The sequence below is a fragment of the Homo sapiens genome, chromosome 17 (genome assembly GCF_000001405.40).
Source record: "Homo sapiens chromosome 17, GRCh38.p14 Primary Assembly".
Taxonomy (NCBI): domain Eukaryota; kingdom Metazoa; phylum Chordata; class Mammalia; order Primates; family Hominidae; genus Homo; species Homo sapiens.
The window spans coordinates 57,507,967-57,531,065 of record NC_000017.11 but is presented as its reverse complement, the minus strand read 5'-3'; the positions used below and the strand labels follow the sequence as shown (position 1 = coordinate 57,531,065).

At 47.1% G+C, this 23,099-nt stretch overlaps 1 protein-coding gene and 1 long non-coding RNA gene across 13 annotated transcripts in view, besides 4 other annotated features; one reads left to right on the top strand and one right to left on the bottom strand.

Moving 5' to 3' along the window:
* Positions 1-23,099, bottom strand: part of MSI2 (musashi RNA binding protein 2) — a 445,731-nt gene that overhangs the window by 170,516 nt on the left and 252,116 nt on the right. For all 12 annotated transcript variants that reach the window (NM_001322250.2, XM_047435313.1, XM_047435314.1 and 9 more), the window contains one exon: positions 1,342-1,390. In NM_001322250.2, the coding sequence (NP_001309179.1) occupies positions 1,342-1,390 (49 nt within the window). The remainder of the gene's footprint in view (positions 1-1,341; positions 1,391-23,099) is intronic.
* Positions 2,426-3,258: an enhancer, noted in NCBI's record as "NANOG-H3K4me1 hESC enhancer chr17:55605169-55606001 (GRCh37/hg19 assembly coordinates)". NCBI's record gives its function as "activates a minimal SCP1, AML or CMV promoter by ChIP-STARR-seq in naive H9 embryonic stem cells {active_cell/tissue: H9 hESC(naive)}" and the evidence as "EXISTENCE:reporter gene assay evidence [ECO:0000049][PMID:30033119]".
* Positions 6,134-7,333: an enhancer, noted in NCBI's record as "MED14-independent group 3 enhancer chr17:55601094-55602293 (GRCh37/hg19 assembly coordinates)". NCBI's record gives its function as "activates an origin of replication core promoter dependent on BRD2, BRD4, P300/CBP and CDK7 cofactors, and independent of MED14, by STARR-seq in HCT116 cells {active_cell/tissue: HCT116}" and the evidence as "EXISTENCE:reporter gene assay evidence [ECO:0000049][PMID:35650434]".
* On the top strand, positions 7,469-8,818 carry LOC101927557 (uncharacterized). The gene is made up of 3 exons (NR_110808.1): positions 7,469-7,510; positions 8,160-8,235; positions 8,374-8,818. It is a non-coding gene; the product is annotated as an uncharacterized LOC101927557 (long non-coding RNA).
* Positions 18,858-19,451: an enhancer, noted in NCBI's record as "H3K27ac-H3K4me1 hESC enhancer chr17:55588976-55589569 (GRCh37/hg19 assembly coordinates)". NCBI's record gives its function as "activates a minimal SCP1, AML or CMV promoter by ChIP-STARR-seq in primed H9 embryonic stem cells {active_cell/tissue: H9 hESC(primed)}" and the evidence as "EXISTENCE:reporter gene assay evidence [ECO:0000049][PMID:30033119]".
* Positions 19,452-20,046: an enhancer, noted in NCBI's record as "H3K27ac-H3K4me1 hESC enhancer chr17:55588381-55588975 (GRCh37/hg19 assembly coordinates)". NCBI's record gives its function as "activates a minimal SCP1, AML or CMV promoter by ChIP-STARR-seq in primed H9 embryonic stem cells {active_cell/tissue: H9 hESC(primed)}" and the evidence as "EXISTENCE:reporter gene assay evidence [ECO:0000049][PMID:30033119]".

Below are 23,099 nucleotides of genomic sequence, written 5' to 3'. Positions count from 1 at the left end.
TCCCCAGCAATGCAGTGGACAAAATCGATCATTCCACACCTGCATGCCCCTCCTTTCTCTCCCTGCTTCTCCACTGCTCCCCACCCTCCACCCCCTGCCATCTCTTCCCTCCATAAATACCACTTGACACCACTGTTGTGCACCCAATGCTCCATTCTCCCATTCTGAGGATGCTGTAGAGGGATGCATTTGAAGCCAGATTACCAGACGCACTCAGGATATCCCCCTCCTTCTCCCAGCCCCGCCAGCAATGATTCCCACTCCACTCCTTCTTGCCTTTCACTCACTCTGCCTTCTCCAAACAGGAAAGACATACAGTCAGTGCTGGGTAACTGTTTCTAATCACAGGTGACAGCAGGAATGTAAACAACACAGGAAACATCTAAATGCGATCCAAGTGGCAAGGAAATGCTGCTCACTCACAGGCTCCCTCCCTTGAGGGCACCAGCACACCATTTCCTGCCACCCCCTTAGGAAGCTCTGCTCATTAACACCCTGTTAATAGGAACCCCAGAAACCTGAGCTTCCGGAGAACAGAACACTAAGTCATCACCTCCTTTGACTCTGCTACCTCCAGGGAGGACTTTTCTAGATGCCTCCAATTTTTCTGTTTAAAGCAATAAATTTAATGTGTTCTTTTTGGGGAAGGAAGAGACTAAGGGCAGGGCCAGAGACCCTTTTGAGAATTTGTCCAAACCTAGGGATCTTCACCCAAGAAAAGTATAAACATATGACATTTTGCATGTCATTGCAGAGGTTCATAGACTCCAGGTTAAGACCCATTTTTTGTAAAGTGGATGGGACAGAAGCAGCACAGGGAAAAACACAATTAAGTACAGATGCCCTCTACACATTCCAGAGGCCCCACGGAGCATTCCCAAGGCTGTAATCACTACACACCCAACGAACCTACAATGTTTTATTTTGATTTTTTGGCTCTTTAGATTGACAGTCTGCTCCTAAAGAACCTCCTTCAATACAAATTGATAACTCAATTGAGTCACTGCTGTGAATAATTTCCACTTGGATCGCTTAGTGCCGAGGTTAGCAAGGGACCCAGAAAGGCAGGATTAGAGAGGTACATCTGAATATGTGTGTCAGGGATGGCTGCATAACTAAACAGGAGTTCCTAGGCCAGAAGGAAATGGTTTTTCAGCTATCCAGTACTGGAACTCTTTGTGCTACTGGGACTCTCCGTGAATAAAGATCTTCAATGGATGGTCACCTCTACCTGCTTGACTCTGGACTCTTCACTGTATCTTTTGTCAGTGGGACTGGGGATGACAGACAGAGAGGCCAGGAGAGGGTGAACGCAACCCTCTTACACTGGGGTAATCTTACCTCTGTGCCTGTTGGTAGTTTTATCAAACATCAGCATTGCATCTTCCACCTGCAAAACAAATATAGAATACAGGCTGCCTTAGGAATTTTAAGAAAGTACACAAAACATTATATGCATGTCGGGGGGTGAGGGGGTAGTTTCCATTACAGAAGTAATAGTTGCTTATCAAAAAATATTTGAAAATGCAAAAAAGTAGAAAGAAAAAAAAACAGTGGTCTTTCCACTCCACACCGTTGTATACAGTTAACATTTTATATAGTTCCCTTTAGTGTCTGCTTTTTATTTTTTGAGACAGGGTCTCACTCTGTCACCCAGGCTAGAGTGCAGTGGCACCATCACGGCTCACTGCAGTCTCGACCTCCTGAGCTCAAGCAATCCTCCTGCCTCAGCTTCCTGAGTAGCTGGGACTACAGGCATGTACCATCATGCCCAGTTATTTTATTTTATTTTTTTAGAGACAGGGTCCCACTATGTTGCTCAGACTGGTCTTGAACTCCTGGGCTCAAGTGATCCTCCTGCAGCAGCCTTTCAAAGCGCTGAGATTATAGGTGTGAGCCACTGCTCCAGGCCTGGAGTATTTTTTTTCTAAAGAAAGAAAAAACTATGACTATTTCAATATAGTTTAAATCATATAGTATATGGAATTTGTCCTTTTGTTAACCTGTAACATTACAATATGGCAAACAATTTCCAGGTTAGTATATCATGTATACTACTATCTTGACCGATGCATATTTCCCAGTGTAAGAAGCCATAGCTTACTTAATTATTGCCCTTCTAATAGACATGTGAATTGTTTTTAGTGATAAACAGTGAAGCTTGAACATCCTGATTGTTATGGGCTCAACTGTGTCTCCCAAAATTCATAGTTGAAGTCCTAACCCCCAGGACCTCAAAATGTGACCGTATTTGGAGAGAGGTTCTTCAAAGAAGTAATTAATTTAAAATGAGATCATTAGGGTGGGCCCTAATCCAATATGACTGGTGTCCTTATCAGAAGAGATTAGGACACAAACACAAACAGGGAAGACCATGTGCCAACACAGGGAGAAGACTGCAAGCCAAGGAGAGAGGCCTCAGAAGAAACCAACCCTGCCACACCTTGATCTTGAACTTCTAGCCTCCAGAATTGTGAGAAAATACATTTCTGTTGTTTTAGCCCTCCAATCTGCGTTACTTTATTATGGCAGTACTAGCAAACAAATACACTGATGCTAGGACCTTTTTAAAAACATCAAAGAGAAGAACATAATAAAATAGCAAAGGCGTCCTCTGTCTCTCTTGCTAATCCCTTCCAGACCCCTCCCACGCATCCTGTAACCCCTTCTGCATGTTTCTGGCAATAAGATTTCAGGGTCCACACTCAACTCCCACGTAGAGCTCAAGGAACTCACACTTAATGAACCAGATTCCGCTCTGGAATGCACTCCTTTTATGAGTATTTATGACCCACTCCTTTATCCCACAGAGCACACATCTTTAGCACAGGTGTTTGTCCTCACCCTTCAGCTACGCACCGGGGGAGGGCACCTGGTCTGACCAGTGTGCAGCCTACTCTCTTCATTTACTTTGTGCTCAAGGTTGATGGTAAAAATACAACCCAGTCCGTGTGGCTGTAGGGGGGGTAAAACTGTTAGCGGGGGGCCCTGTCCTCAGAGCAATTTCACTGTGTGCCTGTGGCTAAGAAGGACTGAGCACCGTTGATGTGCACTCAAAGGCTCACAAATGAGCTTGGGGGCTGGCGCTAATCCCTTTGAGAAAAGGAATCGTGGGCTATTCATGCCTCACTCCTCCCAGACTACAATCTCCAATGGAGGGGAAGACGCTGGGCAAAGCAATAAACCAAGGTTTAAAATGGTGCCTGCAGACAAATCAAACGTATTTTTCTAGATGCGATCAAATGTAATAGGGGGAAGAGCAAAGTCAAGGTAAGAATGGAAGATGGGGGTAGGCAAGCCGGTCATAAACCTCAAAGGGACTGGCCTGGCTTAAAAATCTCTTCTCAAGTCAGGGCCCCCTTTTGTTGCTAAGCAACCAAGCCTGAACAAACAGGCTCCTGGGGCCTTCCCCTTCTGCTCCCCATTTCTGAAGTCAGTTACTGGGAGGAAAATGGCCTGGCATGGTGGCTCCTCCAGCAGGCAGCTGCCCCCTCTCTCCCAGGCACCAGGATGATGGGAGTGGGCAATGCTAGTTTGGAGATCCCCATGCCCATCCCAGGCAGGACAAACTCCTTTTGGGCAGGCTTCAAGAGCCCCCGCCGACGGTAACCTGCTGGGGCCACACACACAACAGCCGTTCCACCTCCCGTGCACCACACAGGCAAAATCACCATAAGATCAACTGGTGTGTTTGTACACAGAGCAGTCACACTCGAGCATATGGTGATATGAGCATATCTCAGACTCAGACCCTGGGACTCAATAGGAATTCGAATGCCTGGGGTGTGGGTGGGTGGGTGGGGGATGAGTCCTGCCAGGTATCACGCAGGTAAATGTGACATCTGTTTTGCACCCATCTCCATATTTTCTAAGACTTTTGCCAAATCCTTATTTTGAACTGAAAATGCCTAACAGTAAGGAAAACAGCTGCCCTTCTGTGCTGGCCATGTTTTGGTACTGGGACTCAGATTCCCTTAGGAAATAAATGTTTTGGATTTTTTTTAAAACGTATTTTCAAAACCTCCTTTCAACAGTGCATAATTGGCTCTCCTTTTCCTTCCTAAGTTTGGACGTTTTCTAATAGCGCCCTCTCAACATTCGCTCCACCCTGGTGAGCGTGGGGGAGGATCTGTATATGTTTTTAGGGCAACCATTGTCATAAAGAATACAGCTCTTTCCTCTGTAGTCCGGCTGTACAATGGGGCTCGCAAAGACCTCCTGAATAGATAAAGTGTCAGGACGAAAGAAAAATTCTATTAACACGTTACAAAATACAACATCTAAGAAGGAGCTAGAGAGGAAAGAGAAACGGGAGAAAAATCAATATGGATAAGTCCCAGTGCTTGGGGGTAGAAAACTTTTCAGCAATTGCAAAATACTTATTAATTCAGAGAAGCCATCAATGCGATGGAAATCTGGCAGAACAGCAAGAGCTGAAACTAGAAGAATTTGAATATACAAAGACTGAATAGAATGAAAAACACAGTCTCACATACGAGACTGTTTCTCACGGTTCTATGTGAATCAAACAGAAGCGGCTTGTGTGAGTCAAGGGAAAATAAGGGGCACAGTTAAGGTAACTGGTATTCAATCCTGGAGCCAGCCAGCTGATAACTCTCTCGGTCTCTGTCTTTGTCTCTCTCTCTCTCTCTCTGTCACACACACACACACACACACACACACACACACACACACACACACACACACACCCAGGTATATCAGGGGGCTATGAAGACTCATCAACATGAACACACAGGCCAGGCCTCATTCAAGATGCTAGGAGAGCCCAAAAGCTTAGGGGAAGCTGGGAACAGGAGTTTTTCTTTTTTCTTTTTTTTCCTTTGAGACAGTCTCATTCTGTCACCCAGGCTGGAGTGCAATGGCATGATCTTGGCTCACTGCTACCCCCGCCTCCTGGGTTCAAGTGATTCTCCTGCCTCAGCCTCCTGAGTAGCTGGGATTACAGGCATGCACCACCATGCCTGGCTAATTTTTGTATTTTTAGTAGAGACGGGGTTTCACCACATTGGTCAGGCTGGTCTTGAACTCCTGACCTTGTGATCCACCTACCTTGGCCTCCCAAAGTGCTGGGATTACAGGTGTGAGCCACTGTGCCCGGCCAGGAACAGGAGTTTCTCTAACCCCTTATGAAATACCCCTTCTAGGGACACCACCCTCATCCTTATGATTAACTCTGGTACTTACTTCATGTTGACAACGCGCTCACCTGCCTTACAAAATTCTTTGTACCTGAAATGGGCACCTGCAGGCCTAGTGGCTCCCCTGAGGGAGACAGAAGGACAAGAGGTGTCTGATCCTCAGCATGATTTGTCCCATGTCCTGGCAGAACCCTGGTCTGTTTTGGGAAAAGGAGCTTATTCCAACCTTGAGATGTACCTTGTAATAACTTGGGGCAGGTTTGAGATATGGCCCTGACATCTTTAGTGGTGTATCTTTGTGAATGAAAAAGCAAAATAGGCCGGATATGCTGGCTCATGTCTAGTAATCCCAGCACTTTAGGAGGCTGAGGTGGGAAAATCGCTTGAGGCCAGGAGTTTGAGACCAGCCTGGGCAACATAGCAAGACCTCATCTCTACAAAAAAATACTAAAAACTTAGCCAGGCATTGTGGCACACACCAGTGGTTCCAACTACTCAGATGGCTGAGATGGTAAGATTGCTTGAGCCTGGGAGGTTGAGGCTGTAGTGAACCATGACTGCACCACTGCACTCCAGCCTGAGCTACAGAGCGAGACCCTGTCTCAAAACACAACCTCCCCCACCTGCCCCCCCCAAAAAAGCAAAGTAAAGTAACATTTAGGTAAGCTGGTGGGGAATGGGATGCCTCTGTCTTTGTCCTGACACCAGAAGGTATTGAACATATTTCTGACTACTGCACGGTTCAGACTATGCTGTAATATCCTCAGAAGTATGTGAGAGTCAACAAAGGGGACCTAATCTGTTAGTTTCTATGGCTGCTGGAGTTGGGGCAGGGATTCTCAAATATCATCCACATCAGAATCATCATCAGAGGGACTGTTAAGCCACAGATCTCCCGGGGGCCTCAGAGCCAGAGTGACTGATTCAGTAGTATTTGCATTTCTAACAAGCTCCCAGGTGATGCTGATGCAGCTGCTGGCCCAGAGACCCCTCTTTCCATGAGCTACTCTAAGGGTAAGAAGCAAGAGCAAAGGTTAAAGACACTGGGCAGAGGTTGCTTCTTCCTCTTTAACATACACTCAGTGGTCAATACATGAAACAAAATTTCCCATCTAGGAGCAAGTTCCACACTTCAGTGTGGCAAGTTCTCCCTCTCTTTGTTCCCCTTCTCTCAGATGTTTATATTCTAAAATCCTAAAAATGATGATGGTAGACCCCACGATGGAAAAGATGATAAGAAGAGGGATTTCTTAGTGGCAACCAACTTGCCCTGCACCCGATGAAAGAAAAATCCAGATTCTACTAGGATGACATAAACTTTCCTTCTAACAGATAAACTCTTATTCACAGATAAACTCATGTCTAGATCTATCTAACAGATAAACTCATGTCTAGATTATGCAGCCAATCCAATCTTGAATAGAAAACTTAGCAAATGGTAACTTTATTTACTTTTATGCAACATGCATGTATGAGGCATTCGCTATTTGCAAAACATCAGCCTAAGTACAAATAAAAGACAACTCACACAGGTCTATGGTGGACTGATGATATGAATGGTCTCACACCCGTTCCTCTGTGAGTTTGCGGTCCTTCTCCCCCAAAGAGGTGGAGTCTACTTTCATCCCTTGAATCTGGGCTTAATTTGTTAGGGCTAATAAAATGCGGTGGGGGGAAGAGTATGCCTGTTTTGGGCCTAGCCTTAAGAGGATTTGCAAGTTCCTGCTTGTTCTCTCTTGCACCTCTGCCATCACCATGACAAGGGCATGCCCAGGCTAGCCTGATGCAGGATGGGTGGCACATGGAGCAGGGCCAACTTCCCTGTGCCGAGGCCAGCCTAGATGGGTGGACAGCCAGTCACCCTCAAAGCATGCAAGTGAGGCCAGCCAGGATCAGCAGAACCACTCCAAGTTTACTCCAAACACGTGAGATAAACAGTTACTGCCTGCCCCTGAAGTTTTGGGGTTAGTTACACAGCATTCTTGTGGCCATAGGTAACTCATACGTGGTCCTCATTCTAAAAAAATCCCCCAAAACAACAAAGAAAGCTTGTAATCAGAAGATAGACAGTCTAAAATAATACTAGAAAGCAAAGGAAAGAAAAGGGGCAGAATAAGGGAAAGTGCTAAATGTGGCAGAGAATTAAACTATCAGGTTCCACATTCCACATGGAGCACGCTCTTCATGGAACATTCCACATGGAACACAGGCATTAAGGTGTGGACGGACCTCTTCTAAATCTCACCCCATCAGCAAGGTTGGAGACAGAGATCCTAGAAGCGCCAAGAGAAACTGGCAACATGTTCCTCACTAAATGAGCACCGTGAAAATCAGCAATAATTACCACTCAAGTCAGTGGGTGATGCCTCTCTAATCCTAATTCATTTAGTGAATGAGTGAACCCTCTTTCTAATGAGTCAAAAGATTTATTGTGAGCCAGGCATTCTTGCTGGGTGATTTTAGAAGTAGCCAGATGGTACTGACCACATCCAGGGGTTAGACTTGAGACAGCCCAGCTCACGTGCTGGCTGAATAGGAAAACTTTAAAGACGCAATGCAGGCCGGGCGTGGTGGCTCACGCCTGTAATCCCAACACTTTGGGAGGCAGAGGTGGGCAGGTCACTGAGGTCAGGAGTTCGAGACCAGCCTGGCCAACATAGTGAAATCCCGTCTCTACTAAAAATACAAAAAATTAGGTGGGCGTTGTGGTGTGTGCTTGTAATCCCAGCTGCGCGGGAGGCTGAGGCAGGAGAATTGCTTGAACCTGGGAGGTGGAGGTTGCAGTGAGCTGAGATTACGCCATTGCACTCCAGCCTGGATGACAGAGTGAGACTCCACCTCAAAAAAAAAAAAAAAGGACACAATGCAAAGGTACATGGAGGGAGGTCAAAAATGCTATTGTCCAGTTAGCTGGCTAATGGGTGGGAACCTACAGTATGTCCCCTGGACCACTGCCTCTTCTGCTGAAGGTTTTACAGTTTTGGCTCCCCAAATACATAGTAGGTGAGTGAAGCTGAACTGATCTGAGGACACAAAAAACTTGTTCCCAGGAGACAGCTAAAGAGCAGTGTTGCTGGTACGTAACTCAGCAGGTGTTGGGAGGCAGCTGGGTGTGGTGGGGAGTGCCGCACCAAGCATGGAGGGAGTCCAGGTTCTAATCCCAGCCCCACCAGGATCTCACTGAGGACCAGTCACCTCCCTCCTCTATCCTCAGTTTTTCTTCTGTGAAAGGAGGAAATTCTATGAGATGGCCCCTAAGATCCATGCATAAAGACTCTCTGCCTGGAATGCTAACATGGACTCCAGAGGCAGCTGGGACGATGCTCTGGAAGCATTGACTTGGCCACTGGGCTTTTGCAAACTCTCTGTGCTGTGAGGCTGCTCCAGAGCTTTGCTGTGGCCGATGCATGCCCTGAGAAATGTCCTACTCCTCTGGGGATATAAATATACACACCCGCAAGCCACACATATCAAGAACAAAGCAGGAAACGGCACTTCAGATGATCCTTAAATTATCTGGTCAAATGCAAGGAGGGAGGGGAAAGGGAAGAGAAGAAACCCAGCTCTCCAAACTCCCCCAGAACAAATGCCCTTGAATTTCTCTTCCTGCTCCCACTCAAACGCTCCAAGTGTTAGTATAAATAAACACCCTCAAATGCAATACCATGATACTATAGTGTGTCAGGCTTAACAGGCATTATGCTCTGTAAACTCAAGGAGCTAAGGCCACAAGAGTGAGACTCGGCTGAGGTGGCAGGACTGCCCAGGCCACAGGTGCCTGGGGCCTGTGGTGGAGACAGCCGCTGCCTGGGTCCAGGATTACGCAGAACATGGGAAGGCACTGTCTCCACCTCTCTCCCTGCCAGCTTAGGCAAAACCCAAATCGGTTCCTTCCGTAAAGCTCAGGAATAATGTGTAGTTTATTGAAATAAGACTTTTCCGTGTGCTCTGGCCTTGAAAAGGGTGGGGTTGGTCTGTCTTTAACCATTCTCCAAAGAGGAAGGACGGAGAAGAAGGAGCAGACTGGAAAATCCCATTGGTTCATTCTGAAATCTACATCAGTGATTTTTCAGCCGTGACTGCTCACCAAGGCCACACCCCAACCTATTAAATCAGTACTCTGGAGTGGGCAGCCCGAAAGAGGATTTTTTAAAGCTCCCCAGTGATCCAGGGTACAGCCAAGGCCGAGACCCACCGTTCTAAATGGCTAAATAGAGCTGAGTTGAGCCGTAACACAGCATATGTGTGTGTAGACAGGCCCTAAGTAAATGAGTATTAATGGGCCTTCTGCTGCCTAAAGATTAGAAGTTCATTCCCTGCCAGAAGTCAGGAGCAGGCACTCCTTGCCTCATCCTACTTTCTTAGGGCTCTCCTTAAGCTTAACTCAGTCTTAGTACAAGAAAGCCAAAGTTCTATATGAGAAGCAGCTCGGAAGAGCCAAAAATGAACAGAGGGCTTTAAGAAAACCTAACAAAACCATTGTTTTTTTTCCCATCACCACCAATATTTTCACAGGTATTATTACTACTTTCGTGGTCACAATAACCCCACGAGAAAGGGAGTATTACAAATTCTCTGAGACTCAGTTTTCCTACTGGTTTGTCCTAGAGCCGGCAGGGGCTGGGCCTGGGGTTCAGATGCTGGGCTTTTGAGTCCAAGCCTCAGCCTGCCAGCCGCTGCCTTCCTGCCCATCTCAGGTTCTTGGCCTCCTCCTGCTACAGCCAGCCTTTCTGTCCCTGTGTGTTTACCCCTGGAAGACTGCAGTGATGAAGGTGCGCTTGGAGTTTCTATCCCAGCTGCTGCTGCCAGGCACGTTTTTCCTTCATTCCAAATGTCAAAAAATGCTAGTTTGCATCCATCTGAAAGCCTGTTTATTTTAATTTGAACCCAGGCCTTTACTGACTAACAAGAGAAAAAGTCTACATAATTTCTCCTCAACTAGGGCTGGGGGCAGTGGCTCACGTCTGTAATTCCAGCACTTTGGGAGGCCGAGGTGGGCAGATCACTTGAGGTCCCGAGTTCAAGACCAGCCTGGCTAACATGGTGAAACTCCATCTCTACTAAAAATACAAGAAAAAAAAAAAATTTAGTTGGGTGTCGTGGTGCACAACTGTAATCCCAGCTACTCTGGAGGCTGAGGCAGGAGAATTGCTTGAACCCAGGAGGCGGAGGCTGCAGTGAGCTGAGATCATGGTACTGCACTCCAGCCTGGGCGACAGAGCAAGACTGCCTCAAAAATAAAATAAAATATCTCCTAAATGAAAAAAATTGTTCTTAATTGTGGCAAAAAATATATAAAATAAAATTTATCATTTTAACCATTTTTGGGGTCTACAGTTCAGTGGCATTAAGAACATTTCTCGAACTCTTCACAGAAGGCTCCCACACCTTACAATGGCCAGAGTATTTTGTCCCCATTAGCAAGACCTTTACAGCCCTTAATTTTTTCCTACATTTACTTCTTTTATTCTTGTGGGATCATTCTATTTTCCCATTTAGCTTACAAGAAAAAACGCACAATGTTTATCAGATAGCAGTTATGAATTCAACAAAGGGACACCTGCCCATGGGAACTGAAAGATGTGGGGTCTTCAGACAACTTAATCCTGGAGACGTAGACATTTTATCTACCTAAGGCAAAACCTCCTGCTCAGAGATTCTGATTCCACAAGTCTGTATCAGACTCTAAGTTATAAAATGTCTATCCTCCTGAAATAATGATTGTTATAATAACTACCATTTACTGGAGCGTAATAGGCAATTTGCAAAGCTCATTTAATTACTGCAATAGCTTGGAGGTAGATACTATCATACCCATTTCAGGCACCCATTTTTTTTCTCTTTTTAAAATTTAAAAATTTTTATTTTTTATTTTTTGTAGGGATGGGGTCTCGATTTGTCTGCCCAGGCTGGTATCAAACTCCTGGGCTCCAGCGATCCTCCCGACTCAGCCTCCTGAGTAGCTTGGGATTACAGGCACGTGCCCACACACGTGGCATCATACACCCATTTTACAGGTGAGGAAATTGTGGTTCACCGACAGTAAGTGACTTGCCTAGGATCACACAGGTAAGTAAATGGTGGAGCCAGTAGTTAAAATCAGATGAGTCCCTAAGTCTTCTGTTCTCCCTTACTTGTGTTCTGTTTTTTGAATCCCTAAGAGCTTTGTGCAGTGCCCCTGTCTGCTGGATGAACCAACAAACACTGCTTTAAAACTCTACCAAAAAGTGAATAGAGGTGATTAGGTAACCTCAAGGAAATGGAGGTATATTGCCCCGGTAGGCTCGGGAGAGGAGGAATGATTGGAAAGGTAAAGGAAAGAGGAGGATATTGGGTCTCTTCCTTTTAGATAAGTGAATTCCAAAAGCTCGAGATCACCGGGCTCCTCCATAGTCATGGAGCAAGCCTCTAGCAGAGCTGGAACTGCCAGAGGGCTCTGGAACGCAGTCCAGGCTCAGCCATGCGAGTCTCCCCGCCCCGTGCAGTGACTCTAAGGATACTCAGTGTGTCTTGCTTCCTGGAGTTGTTAGGAAGGCTCATGTGGTAGCCAGTGAGCGCCTACCACACAGAAAATGCTCATCATAACAGACACTGGCTCAATTCACTGCCCCATCCTGGCAATCCCCTCGCCTGCATGCACACACCCATACATGGTCCATGCAGTTAAGCCGGGAGCCACACCCAATGCTGTGGGTTTTCTTATTGTGAATGGACTATGCCAAGGGAAGGCCACTAACAGAACCAGTGTGCCCTTGGGGGAGCAGTCCCAGGAGGCCCTATCTCAAGACTAAGCCAGGGAAGGCAGAGTCTCCCGGTGAGAGGTAGGACTGGGTGGGAGCTCCATTCTGGCTGAGCTTGCAAAGCCGTGGGCCCAAGCACCACCCTGGAGAGTGGGGCAGCAGGCTGTCACTGGGGATATCTGAGATGGGGTGTAGAGAGGAGGCGATGAGGGAAGGGGAGAGAGACACTGAGAGAGAGAGCTGTTTGAGGAGCAGCAGTTGGATCCGGCAGGCTTGACAGCTGTCACATGGAAATGGCATCTGGCCTAACGGCCTCTCGTGTGAGGCTCCTTCAAGTGGCGGCTGCTGTGCTCTGGAAATCCAGGCCCGTGTTCAGCACTGATTGTGAGTGCGTGCGTGCATGTGCTGGGGGAGGGGAGTGGCAGGCAGGCTGCTGAACTGCTGAATGCTCCCTTCTCCCCCTCTCCAGCCTCTCCCCATCAGGCCTCACCTACCATGAAAAAGGCCCAAGCCTGCCAGCTCCAGAGGAGAGAGGCAAATCATTTAGGGGAGCACTGATGTGCCGGAACACTCTCTCACATTCCCATTAAACAAATACTAAACTGCTAATTGCCAAAATGGATCTCCACGACTCTGACCGAACCAGGGAAGGGTTTATAATTACCAAGTGTGAAAATGCACAGCCTGTAAATAGCCACCTCATCTGTCCTAATACGGGCTGATATTGATGGGCATGAAATAAACATCAGGACAAATGGAAAAATCATCCACATCTCCTGTGGCCAATGCAGTCTCGGATGGTGACAAGCGTAGCTGCAGCCATACGCCTGGGGAGGGGAGGGGGAGAGGAGAAAGGAGTTTTGTAGGCTTGGAAAATCTTGGTTCCAATCCCAATTTTAATCCCATGGGCCATCTGCACCTTCTTTCTGTCTGGAAAACAGGGAGGGTAAATAACATGGCTTGATAATGGGATGAAGGGCTTGCCTACATTTCAGAAAGGCCAGGGGCCCCAGTGCAGGGAACTTCTGAGGGCATCAGCTTTCAGGACAGGGCTTCAGACATCTTCCACCCTGCTCTCTTTAAGACTGGCTGATGAAAAAAGAAGACTGAGGGAGAGGGAGAGCTCTGCCAAGGTGACACATTTATTCATTAAACTAATATTTATTAAAGCTCTTTTGTCTGACAAACACGCAGAGTTGGTTGCAGAGCACAGATGAAAAAATGTGTGTTTAGAATGACCTTTGGGCTCTCTGACACCCCTGTACTACGGTGCCTCCCCATCCCCCACCATCTCTTTCTGCCACTCTGATGGGAGGTGGACTCTGGTCTGTTGGGTCCCAGAGCCCCACCACTTTTCTTGGCCACAACAGAGGAGGGGCAAGGGGATAAGCCAGAGGTCACGGAGTAGCTGCAGGTTTCCCAAGCCCCAGGCCCTTTTCTCTCCACCAGCCCTTTGAAGGTACCAGCCTTTGATTCCAATGAACTCAGCCAGATCTTGGAGTGCATGTTGGTAACCGAGGGAGAGAGGAAGTTCCATTTGCCTCAGAATCACAGACTCAGGAGTTAGAAGTGACCCAAAGGTCACCTTTCCACTTCCCGCCCAGTACAGGAATCCCTTCTCCAAGACTCCTTTGAACCCTTCGTGGAGCTTCAAAAGCTTGGAGGAGCATCTCTGCCCCGCCCTCTCGGACAAGCTGCTCAGGCCTGAATTCAGCAGCAGTAGCACTTAGATGCCTGAAATAGCAGCCTCCTCTGATCCCCAGCAATTCTGGCACAAGGCAGAATTCTGCGAACTGTATAGCATCAGGCACCCGAATCAGCGCACTCAGCACCACTCAGCCCCAGAGTTTCTTCATGGGGCTTTGATGACATCCAAGGAAGTTCCTGCTCCTTCCCCTTTGGGCTGCCTGGCAGCCAATCTCCCCAATCCCCTTATCCCTAAAGTCATCCCTAGAGTCCCATGGGTTTCCCAGTCCTGGTCCTGACCCAAAGACCCTGTCAAAAATTAGCAAAATGAGGGAAGGTCTGAACTACCGACTGTTTTTAGAGGAATTCTAATTTGCTACTTTTGAATTCCGAAACTGTCTTCAAATAATGGCTAAGAAAATGCTGCTGAGAACAAACTTCAAGTGCAGCAACAGGCTGAGAGATGCAGTCACTGGGCAAAGTTACTTCTTGTTCAGGGAGGATCATAAACTCTTCAAGGCAGAGAGGATAAAAAGGATATGAGTCCAGTCCACTCATTTTCTAGAGGAGCAAACTGGCTGTAAGCAATTCAGCGGGTACAGTTGAAGCCACAGTTACAGAATAAAAGAAACTTGGCATGCCATCACACATCCTGGGTTCAAATCCCACTCCATTTCCACTTACGCATGATCTTGGGCATGGCTTTCCAAAGCAGCTCAGCTTCCTTGTGTGTAAAAGGAACACGTGATCACTGTTAACCTTCACCCCAGCATTGAAAAGTAGAAACTATTGATACAACACGCAGGAAAGCATTTGGCCTGTGGCAAATGACTACCCTATGCTATTACCAGAATGCATTCCAGCCCCGGCATGCACAGATGCTCAACAAATATCTGTTGGATGAGGACTGCATAATGGGATAACAGACTTTGTATTGATAACTACAAAGTTGTGAAATCAGTACGGATGAGTGAGGTTTAACTTTGTAAGTGTACCCGGCTTGATGTACTGTGATGCAATGGGTCGCATGCAAATAAACCATCTTTTGGAAACACAGGGGGAATGGACAAACAAACCATTCCATTCCATTCCTACAATGGAATACAGCTGGTACACAACTGGTGCACAACTGACCAGAGGGATCATACCAAGTGAAAAAGTCAGTATCAAGGCTGTATTACATACTGTATGACTCCATTTCTGTGACATTCTCAAAACGACAACATTATTGTGATGAGGAACAGATCAGTGGTTGCCAGGAGTTAGGAGTGGGGCCAGGGTGTAACTATTAAGGAGAAACACAAGGAGTTTGTTGGGGTGATGGAACAGTTCTATTATATATCCTGATTGTAGTGATAGTTACTCAAATCTCCAGGTAGTACAATTTTAAAGAATTACACACAAATACACATGAAAACTGATAAGGTACCAACACTGGTTTCCTGGCTTTAACAAAGTACTGTGGTTATGGGAGTACTATCATTGTGGGAAGCTGGATGAAGGGTTCACAAGAGCTCTTTGTCCTATTTTTACAACTTCTTGTGAGTCCTACACTATTTTAAAATAAAAATGTATAATAATAATAAAAAGAAACCACAAGGGGGCTCATGATTTCAAGAAACCCCATGGCAGATCTGTTTATAATACAAACAACTATGCCCTCATTTCTGTTGATTTGGATAAAGTAGGCATAAATAAGGTAGGCATACAGTAGAAATATCTATCCCTTATCTGTTTCTTGTATTTGGCGCTGGCATACACAACTCTGAAATCTTATTCTGTCACATGAATACATGAATTGGTGGTCCACACTCCCCCATCGCTTCCTCTCCCTAGTCCTCAGGAAATTTCATATACAGCTCTGCATTCCCTACCTAGCGCCCACTAGAGGGATTAATACAAAAATAAGCGTCCAATAAGTGCGTACTGTTGAGTTTCAGGAAGATTTTGGAGGATAAAGAAAAGAATTCAGATAAGGCCAGGTGCAGTGGCTCACACCTGTAATCCCAGCACTTTGGGAGGCCGAGGCAAATGGATCACCTGAGGTCAGGAGTTCACGACCAGCCTGGCCAACATGGCAAAACTCCATCTCCACTAAAAAATACAAAAATTAGCCCAGCATGGTGACAGGCGCCTGTAATCCCAGCTACTCGGGATGTTGAGGCAGGAGAATTGCTTAAACCCGGGAGGCGGAGGTTGCGGCGAGCCGAGATCATGCCATTGCACTCCAGTCTGGGCAACAGAGCGAGACTCCGTCTCAAAACAAAACAAAACAAAATAGACTCAGATAAAAAAGAGCATCAAACCCAGTGGTTTCCAATCTTTCTATTTTGAGCCATTAGGCCTGTCTTTCATTTAATTTTTGAAACACAGACCTTAAATGTTTTGAGATCTTTCATACACCAAACTACTTACTTTTGAAGTATGGAAAATCATTTATCAATATTCATCCTGATCATCACTGGAGCTTTTTGGCAGCGTGAAGTGGCTGGGATGGGGTGTGTCGGGGTGCTCTGTGTAAGGCAAGCAGGCCTGACATTTCAGTTGGCCCATATGTGGTTTGGGGTGGGGTACCCATGGTGCCTGATAGATTTTTTGAGGTAAGGAAGTCAACTTGAGGACTCGGCATTCCTTCTGTTGACCCTGAGAGGTTGGAAATTTTTGGTCTACTCCTTACACCCAAATCATGACTCAGATCTTTGTAAATGAGTATTGACAGAATAACCAACCCTCCTACTTAATCCCTGAGCCACACAACACCCTAAGGGGGAAAAAAGAACGGAGAGGGAAAAACCCATATCTTCCCTTAAAAAAAAAAAAAAAAAAAAAAGTATCAATTCAAGCTGCTTCAAGACCCAACAAGTATGTTTTTCTTTCATTTATTTCTACATCAACACTCTGAAGGATAAAGATCTTTCTCATTTCAAGAGCTGTCAATTTGCTTTAGTGCCATGTTTTCATCTGTTTGAGGTAAAGAGGAATTACAAAGCAGGCAAATGAAATAATGCACTGCAATCTAACATATTTTGGCAATTCAAATTGGGACCAGGGAAAAAGGAAATTAAACAAGAATGACAGGCCCACAGCACACCTGTGCTGTACCCCACTGGTCCACCCCTGTCTTCCCTCCACTTGCTAACTTTATAACTTGATGAAGTCTTCAGTGCTTTGCTGAAAACTGTACTATTTGCTGCACCCTAATTCTTCAAATCATTTCTACATTTTGCACAACTCATACAACATTTTGCTTTCTGAAGCAGAAAAAAAAATCCCTTAGCTGCTGGAAAACTGTCAGGCGCTATTACTCTCAAGACCCCCTTGAAATAGTACAGGGGCCAACGTCCTGTTCCTGGTAGATTTACTACACTTCCCTATATAAATTAACAAAGACAAATTCTTGTTGAAATCAGACTGTGTGAGGAATCCTTACCCTCTCAAGCCTAAGGGTTCAATTACAATGGAACTTAAAAATAAATAAAAGGAAATCTTAATCTCCTCTCAGGGTCCTCCTCTACCAATAATGATGCCCCATGAAGATTTTTGCCTAATTCATTTACATTTCTTTTTTTGTCGTTTTTAATTAAACTGCTCCTCAACTACTCAGCTCTATAATTTTTCCTACTTTAGCTCCAGAACTAGGGATTTTCTAAGAACGATAGGAATTTCCAAGGTCAAGATGTCTCTGTAGATCTCAGGAACTATGTGGCACTCAAGAAACTGCCCTTCATCACCACAGGAGAAGCACAAGGAGCTGGCCAGAGGGTTTGAGAGCCCGGGAGGGGGGTGAGGCTCCCTGAGGGACTGCAGTGAAGGAGCCCCTCCGCCCTAACTGCTGTCAATTTAAAATCAAATGATGGCAAATGTGGTCATGGGCATATAGTCCTGTCTTTTGCAGAATCCCATCTGCTTGGTGACACTGTCGAATTCTAGATTTATAAAAGGCATTGCAGTTCTTCTGCCAATGACCCATGTGTCCACAAACAGTGCCTGCTAGGGCACCTAGACCCAGGTCCCAGCTCACCAGTACAGACTAATGGGAGAGGCCAGAAACTCTAGAGCTAGACTCCCTGGGCTTGGATGCTGGCTCTAGTATTTATTAGCTGTGTGACATTGGGCAGATTACTCAACCTTTCTGTGCCTCTGTTACTTCACTTCAAGTTGGTACCTATCTCATAGTGCTGTTATGAGCATTAAGAGATGCTAATTCAGCCGAGCGTGGTGGCTCATGCCTGTAATCCCAGCACTTTGGGAGGCTGAGGTGGGTGGATCACCAGAGGTCAGGAGTTTGAGACCAGCCTAACCAACACGGTGAAACCCCATCTCTACTAAAAATACAAAAATTAGCCAGCAGTGGTGGCGGGCACCTGTAATTCCGGCTACTCAGGAGGCTTAGGTAGGAGAATCGCTTGAACCCGGGAGGTGGAGGTTGCAGTAAGCCAAGATCATGCCACTTCACTCCAGCCTGGGAGACAGAGTGAGACTCTGTCTCAGAAGGAAAAAAAAAAAAAAAAAGGAAGAAGCTAATTCATGTGCAATATTCTGGCACATAAGAAGAACTAAACAGCTGCCATCCATTATTATTACATCCTCAGCGAGCTGGTCAGAAGATCTAGTATTGTTCATGTCTGAGGACCTCCCTCTTTCTACAGTTAGGATGTTGATGCTAAGTGAAGTTAAAATTAGTGGCAAGGCTGGCTTCACCTGAGCAAGGAGTACCCAGGATGAGACACAATGGCCACTTTCTCTAACATCTATCTGTCCAGCCCATGCTGCCCACATGGGAGGCAGCCGTGTCCTGCCACAAGGCTGCAGAAGCATGGAAAACCAGGCAACAGAGAGGGACAGACAGGCTTGTGCCGACATGAGATGGTTTCTGTGATTTACAGCCAAGTCTTAACTAAGACTCTGCGGCCTCTGAGTTCTGTTCAACGAGGAAATTAACTCACTGAGGCCAACCTCTATTCCAGTGAGGACCCCCTGTGTCATCCTGCATAGCAAAGAGATTCAGCCCTTACCTGAGGAGGCTACTCTGGCCAGATGGCAACAGGTGACAGCAGCTTCAGAGCTATTACCCTAAGCCCACTTAATGCCCTAACAACTGGGCTGAATGAGCTCCTTCTGTTCAGCAAATGGGCAGCCCTTAACTTAAAAAGAAGTTTGTCAGAGGCAGTGGTGCTACCTTTAGAATCCATTCATTCATTTGAAAAAAAAAATTAATCAACTCATATTTACCATATTAGGCCCAAAGACTTTTTAAATGAGGAAGACTTGATTCCTGTCCTTGAGTTCATGGGGACAGAGGCGCCATCAGTGCAGGATACGTGATAAGTGCTCTAGGCTGTGCAGGCCCCATGCAGCGCACATACAGGCACTCTGTCAAGGCCCAGTTTTTAGTCATTCATTCATGCACTCAAGGGCTCTGAATACTCAGGGTAAAAATGACACTAACTTAGCTGGGGGAGACGGTTCATCACAAAAATGGCAGGAGGTGGTTTCTAAGCAAAGGGGCACCAGGGACCTGGTAATGGAGCAGCAGGTGTGTGTGTCTGGAGTGGAATGTAAGCCACGGGAGCAGGGCAGGGAAACTGCAGAAAGCACAGCTGTCTGTGTGGGCCTGGCCTGTGTGAGCTGCGGAATGGCTGGGCCTCCACCCTGAAGGTGAGGTTCTGGCTTTTCAGAAAGAAACCTGGGGGAACAAAATGATGTCAGAGAGACCACCTTCAGTCTCTGCTGAAACCAATACCCCATTGCCAAATAGCCTGGGGGACATCCAACAGTGCCAACTGAGGTCAAGGGGTCAGGGGCTTAATCAACCCTGCTGTGCACGGTGACACAGCAGGCCAGAGGCAGAGCTGGGGTTAGTACGCTGCATCAACCCCGGGAAACAACATCCGTACGCACGAGAGAAACCTGCCTCCCCAGGGCAACACCCCGCTCCAGGAGCAAATGAGAGGCGTTCTGAGCCAGCAGGACTTGAGCCCAGATGGTCTCGAAAGCCGAGGAGCCCCAGTCTCAAGGCACGCAGGAAGGAAAGATGACTATTCCAGCTTAATGAACCTTCTCTGTGTCTCTGGGTAAGTGTGGGGTGGGTGGCGGTAAGGGGAAGGAGAGGCTACTCAATATATTTGAGCGGGTGGGTCGCCACTCTACCTTTTATTCTACTCACTTCACATTTGCGGTTTATTAATGCGCCTTCCTTTGTTCCACCCTGACGTCTGCATGACCATGGTAAGTTCCTGCCAGAGCATCCGCTCCCTGAGGGCAGGGCCCATGTCTTTTCCATCCTTCAGGCTGCACCTGGGACCCTGCTCTGGGGACTCAGTGCACCATGCTGGCTGACCCCCTCTGGTTCTAGAACAGGTATCAGTGGAAAAGCATAAATCGCTGTCCCTGCCTGGATGTGGTGGTGACCTCCTCCAAAGGGTCAAGACTGACTGATACCCCTGGAGTTTCTGATCACCAAGCAAAGCTGGGATTCCAGGGACAGAAGCATCTGCTTGGTGGATGCATGGCAGGCACAGCTCCCTCCCACCTCCAGAGAGCGGGATACAGCGAGGCAGAGACAGGACAAGAGCTAGCCCTGGGGATTTAAATGCCTGCTCCCAACCCCAGTTTATGTGCCATGGACTAAAGCCAGAGAAACACAAAAATGTGCCATAAGCCTATTTTCTAAAAGGTGTTTCCAGATGAGTGTTCTGCCTTGGCCAGCTCCAGCAGACTTTAGAACTCGCATGGCTTTTAAAACCAAGAGGAGGCCGGGTGTGGTGGCTCACGCCTGTAATCCCAGCACTTTGGGAGGCAGAGGTGGGTGGATCACCTGAGGTCAGGAGTTTGAGACCAGCCTGGCCAACATGGTGAAACCCTGTCTCTACTAATAATACAGAAATTAGCCGGGCGTGGTGGCACACACCTGTAATCCCAGCTACTTGGGAGGCTGAGGCAGGAGAATCACTTGAACCCGGGAGGCGGAGGTTGCAGTGAGCCGAGATCGTGCCATTGCACTCCAGCTTGGGCGACAAGAGCAAAACTCTGTCTCCAGAAAAACAAAAGACAAAACAAACAAACAAACAAAAAAAAAAACAAGAGGAGTGCAACATTATTTAGGAGCTCACGCCAGTGGAACCAAAGGCTTATGAGCATCTTGTTATAAAATATCAGGGTAGGAAGAAACGAGAGGGCTCCCTGGGGATGGGGCCACCATTCACAACATCCCACCTCATCAAGAGGGCCTCAGGGGCCCAGGCACCCTCCCCACCCAAGGCCATCCATACCAGCCCCCAAAGAGGCCTGCAGAAAACCCAGCCACACAAAAGGCTGAAAGTCCTATGGGACCAAGACAGAGGAAGGAGTAGATGGGGAAACCTCGTGGGGCAGAACGGTGGTGTGACAAACAGCGCAATTAAGAACAAACTGACAACAAATACGTGGCAGGCCCAGCACACATGAAAAATGCACCCTTTCTGCCTCCCATGCCCCAGGTGAAGAGGCAAGCTGAAACAGACATTTAAACCAATGGGCAAATGCAGTGACTGATTGTGGCACAATCAGGTGCTACAACAGAAGGAATGGAGAAACTGCCATTTGGCCAAAAATCTTCAGGAATGACACTAATCGTAAAGGATGGGAAAGTTTTGAAAAAGCAGAAAAGACCTTGTGAAGGTGTCATGTGGTAGAGACAACTGAATTAATCATGGGGGGACTGCATTTGCTTGGCAATGCCTTGGGTTTGGAGTTGAAGAAGGAGCAAAAAGCAAGCAACCAGCTGGGCATGGTGGCTCACGCCTGTAATCCCAGCACTTTGGGAGGCCGAGGTGGGTGCATCACCTGAGGTCAGGTGTTCGAGACCAGCCTGGCCAACATGGTGAAACACCATCTCTACTAAAAATACAAAAATTAGCCGGGCATGGTGGCAGATGTGTGTAATCCCAGCTACTCAGGAGGCTGAGGCAGGAGAGTCACTTGAACCCGGGAGGCGGAGGTTGCAGTGAGCCAAGATCACACCATTGCACTCCAGCCTGGGCGACAAGAGTGAAACTCTGTCTCAAAAACAAAACAAAACAAAAAGCAAGCAACCAAGATGACGCCAGACTGGTGAGGCCGACTCAATATTCTTCCATTTGTGGGCGGCATAACGCACACAAATTCTCCCTGGATAAATTCTTCCTCACTCTCCCCCTCACTCCTTTCCACTTGAGAGAAAAAATATTTAAGAGAAACACTCTCTAGACGGCTGAAATTTCCCCCTCACTAGCTCAATTTAGTTATTTATCAGAACACTTCGGTGCAGTTATTTTCAGACTTCCACATGAAATAGTAATACTTAGCACTTCCAATTCGTCTCCCAAGCAGTTTTCAAATGTCAGCTCATTAATCCTCAAAACCCTTGAGAAGCAGCACTTTGCCCCATCTCTCAGACTGGGAAGATGGAGGCAGGGCTGCCCGAGGATCCCTGTGGATTTCTGCAATGACTCGATGCTGATCTGACTCAGGGGTCCTCTCACTTGGACCACAGAAACCATTTTTCATCGAAGATGACACTGTACTTTAGGACTTGAGGACTCTATTCTAATGAATGGGTCCCGGAACAGCCTTGTGGCCTCTGACCATGGGTGCATGAACACGTGCAAGAACACGCTCCTTCAGCACTTTATCCAGCCAGGTGCAAGCCTCCCAGCACAGCCCACTGTCTGCCATCAGCAGGTGCCCTACATCTCCCAGTTCCTATCTCCCCTTGGCCAGGCCTGCCGGGCTCACGCGCGTATCTGTGAGCTGCACTCTGTTTCCCATGTCTTGCCAATCCCACACATCTGATGGCATCTGAACCAAAACATCACTTTCTGGGGGCAAACTATAGGCTTTGGAAGAGGCCTTCCAAAGAGGGGCTTATGTCCCATGGTATGGCTTTTCTTTGCTCCCTGAAAGAAACACTTCCAGACTTCTTCCCAGCCAGCATCAAATCTTTTAAGCTATTTGGAGCACCCTAAACTTTAGCCTTCAAATGCATTTTGTATTCATCACTTTAAAATGAGATTTAAGGTTCCTGTCATTTGAATCTTCACTTTATTAGTGAAGAAAATGTGTTGATTTTCCTGTGGGCAGGACAGGGAAAGAAAGGGCTGTCAGTGTAGATGCCTCAAATTCTGTACATGGTAGGGGCTGGAGGTCCGGGAAGTCTGCGCTGGATACGGGCAGCAGAGGAAGGGGTGGTGTGGTTGCAGTGTGTGGCATTGAGGTGGGGGTCTCATATCAATGCAGAATGGCCTGTCCAGAGCTGCCAGCCAATAGCGGGCCACAGGCAAGGGAATGGGTGACGAAGCACTCAGGATGGCTTTCCTCTGTCCTGGCCATGAGCTCCCAGACACAGCTGCTGCTGACCTGCAGCAGGAGTTTTAAAAGGGCAATGCCTGCTGCTGCTGCGCTCTGAAGTAGGTCTTCACTAAACACTAACTCATAAACGACCCTGGCCCTTTATCTAGCATCAGCTGGCTTGGTGCCACATCTAATGCACAGCAAG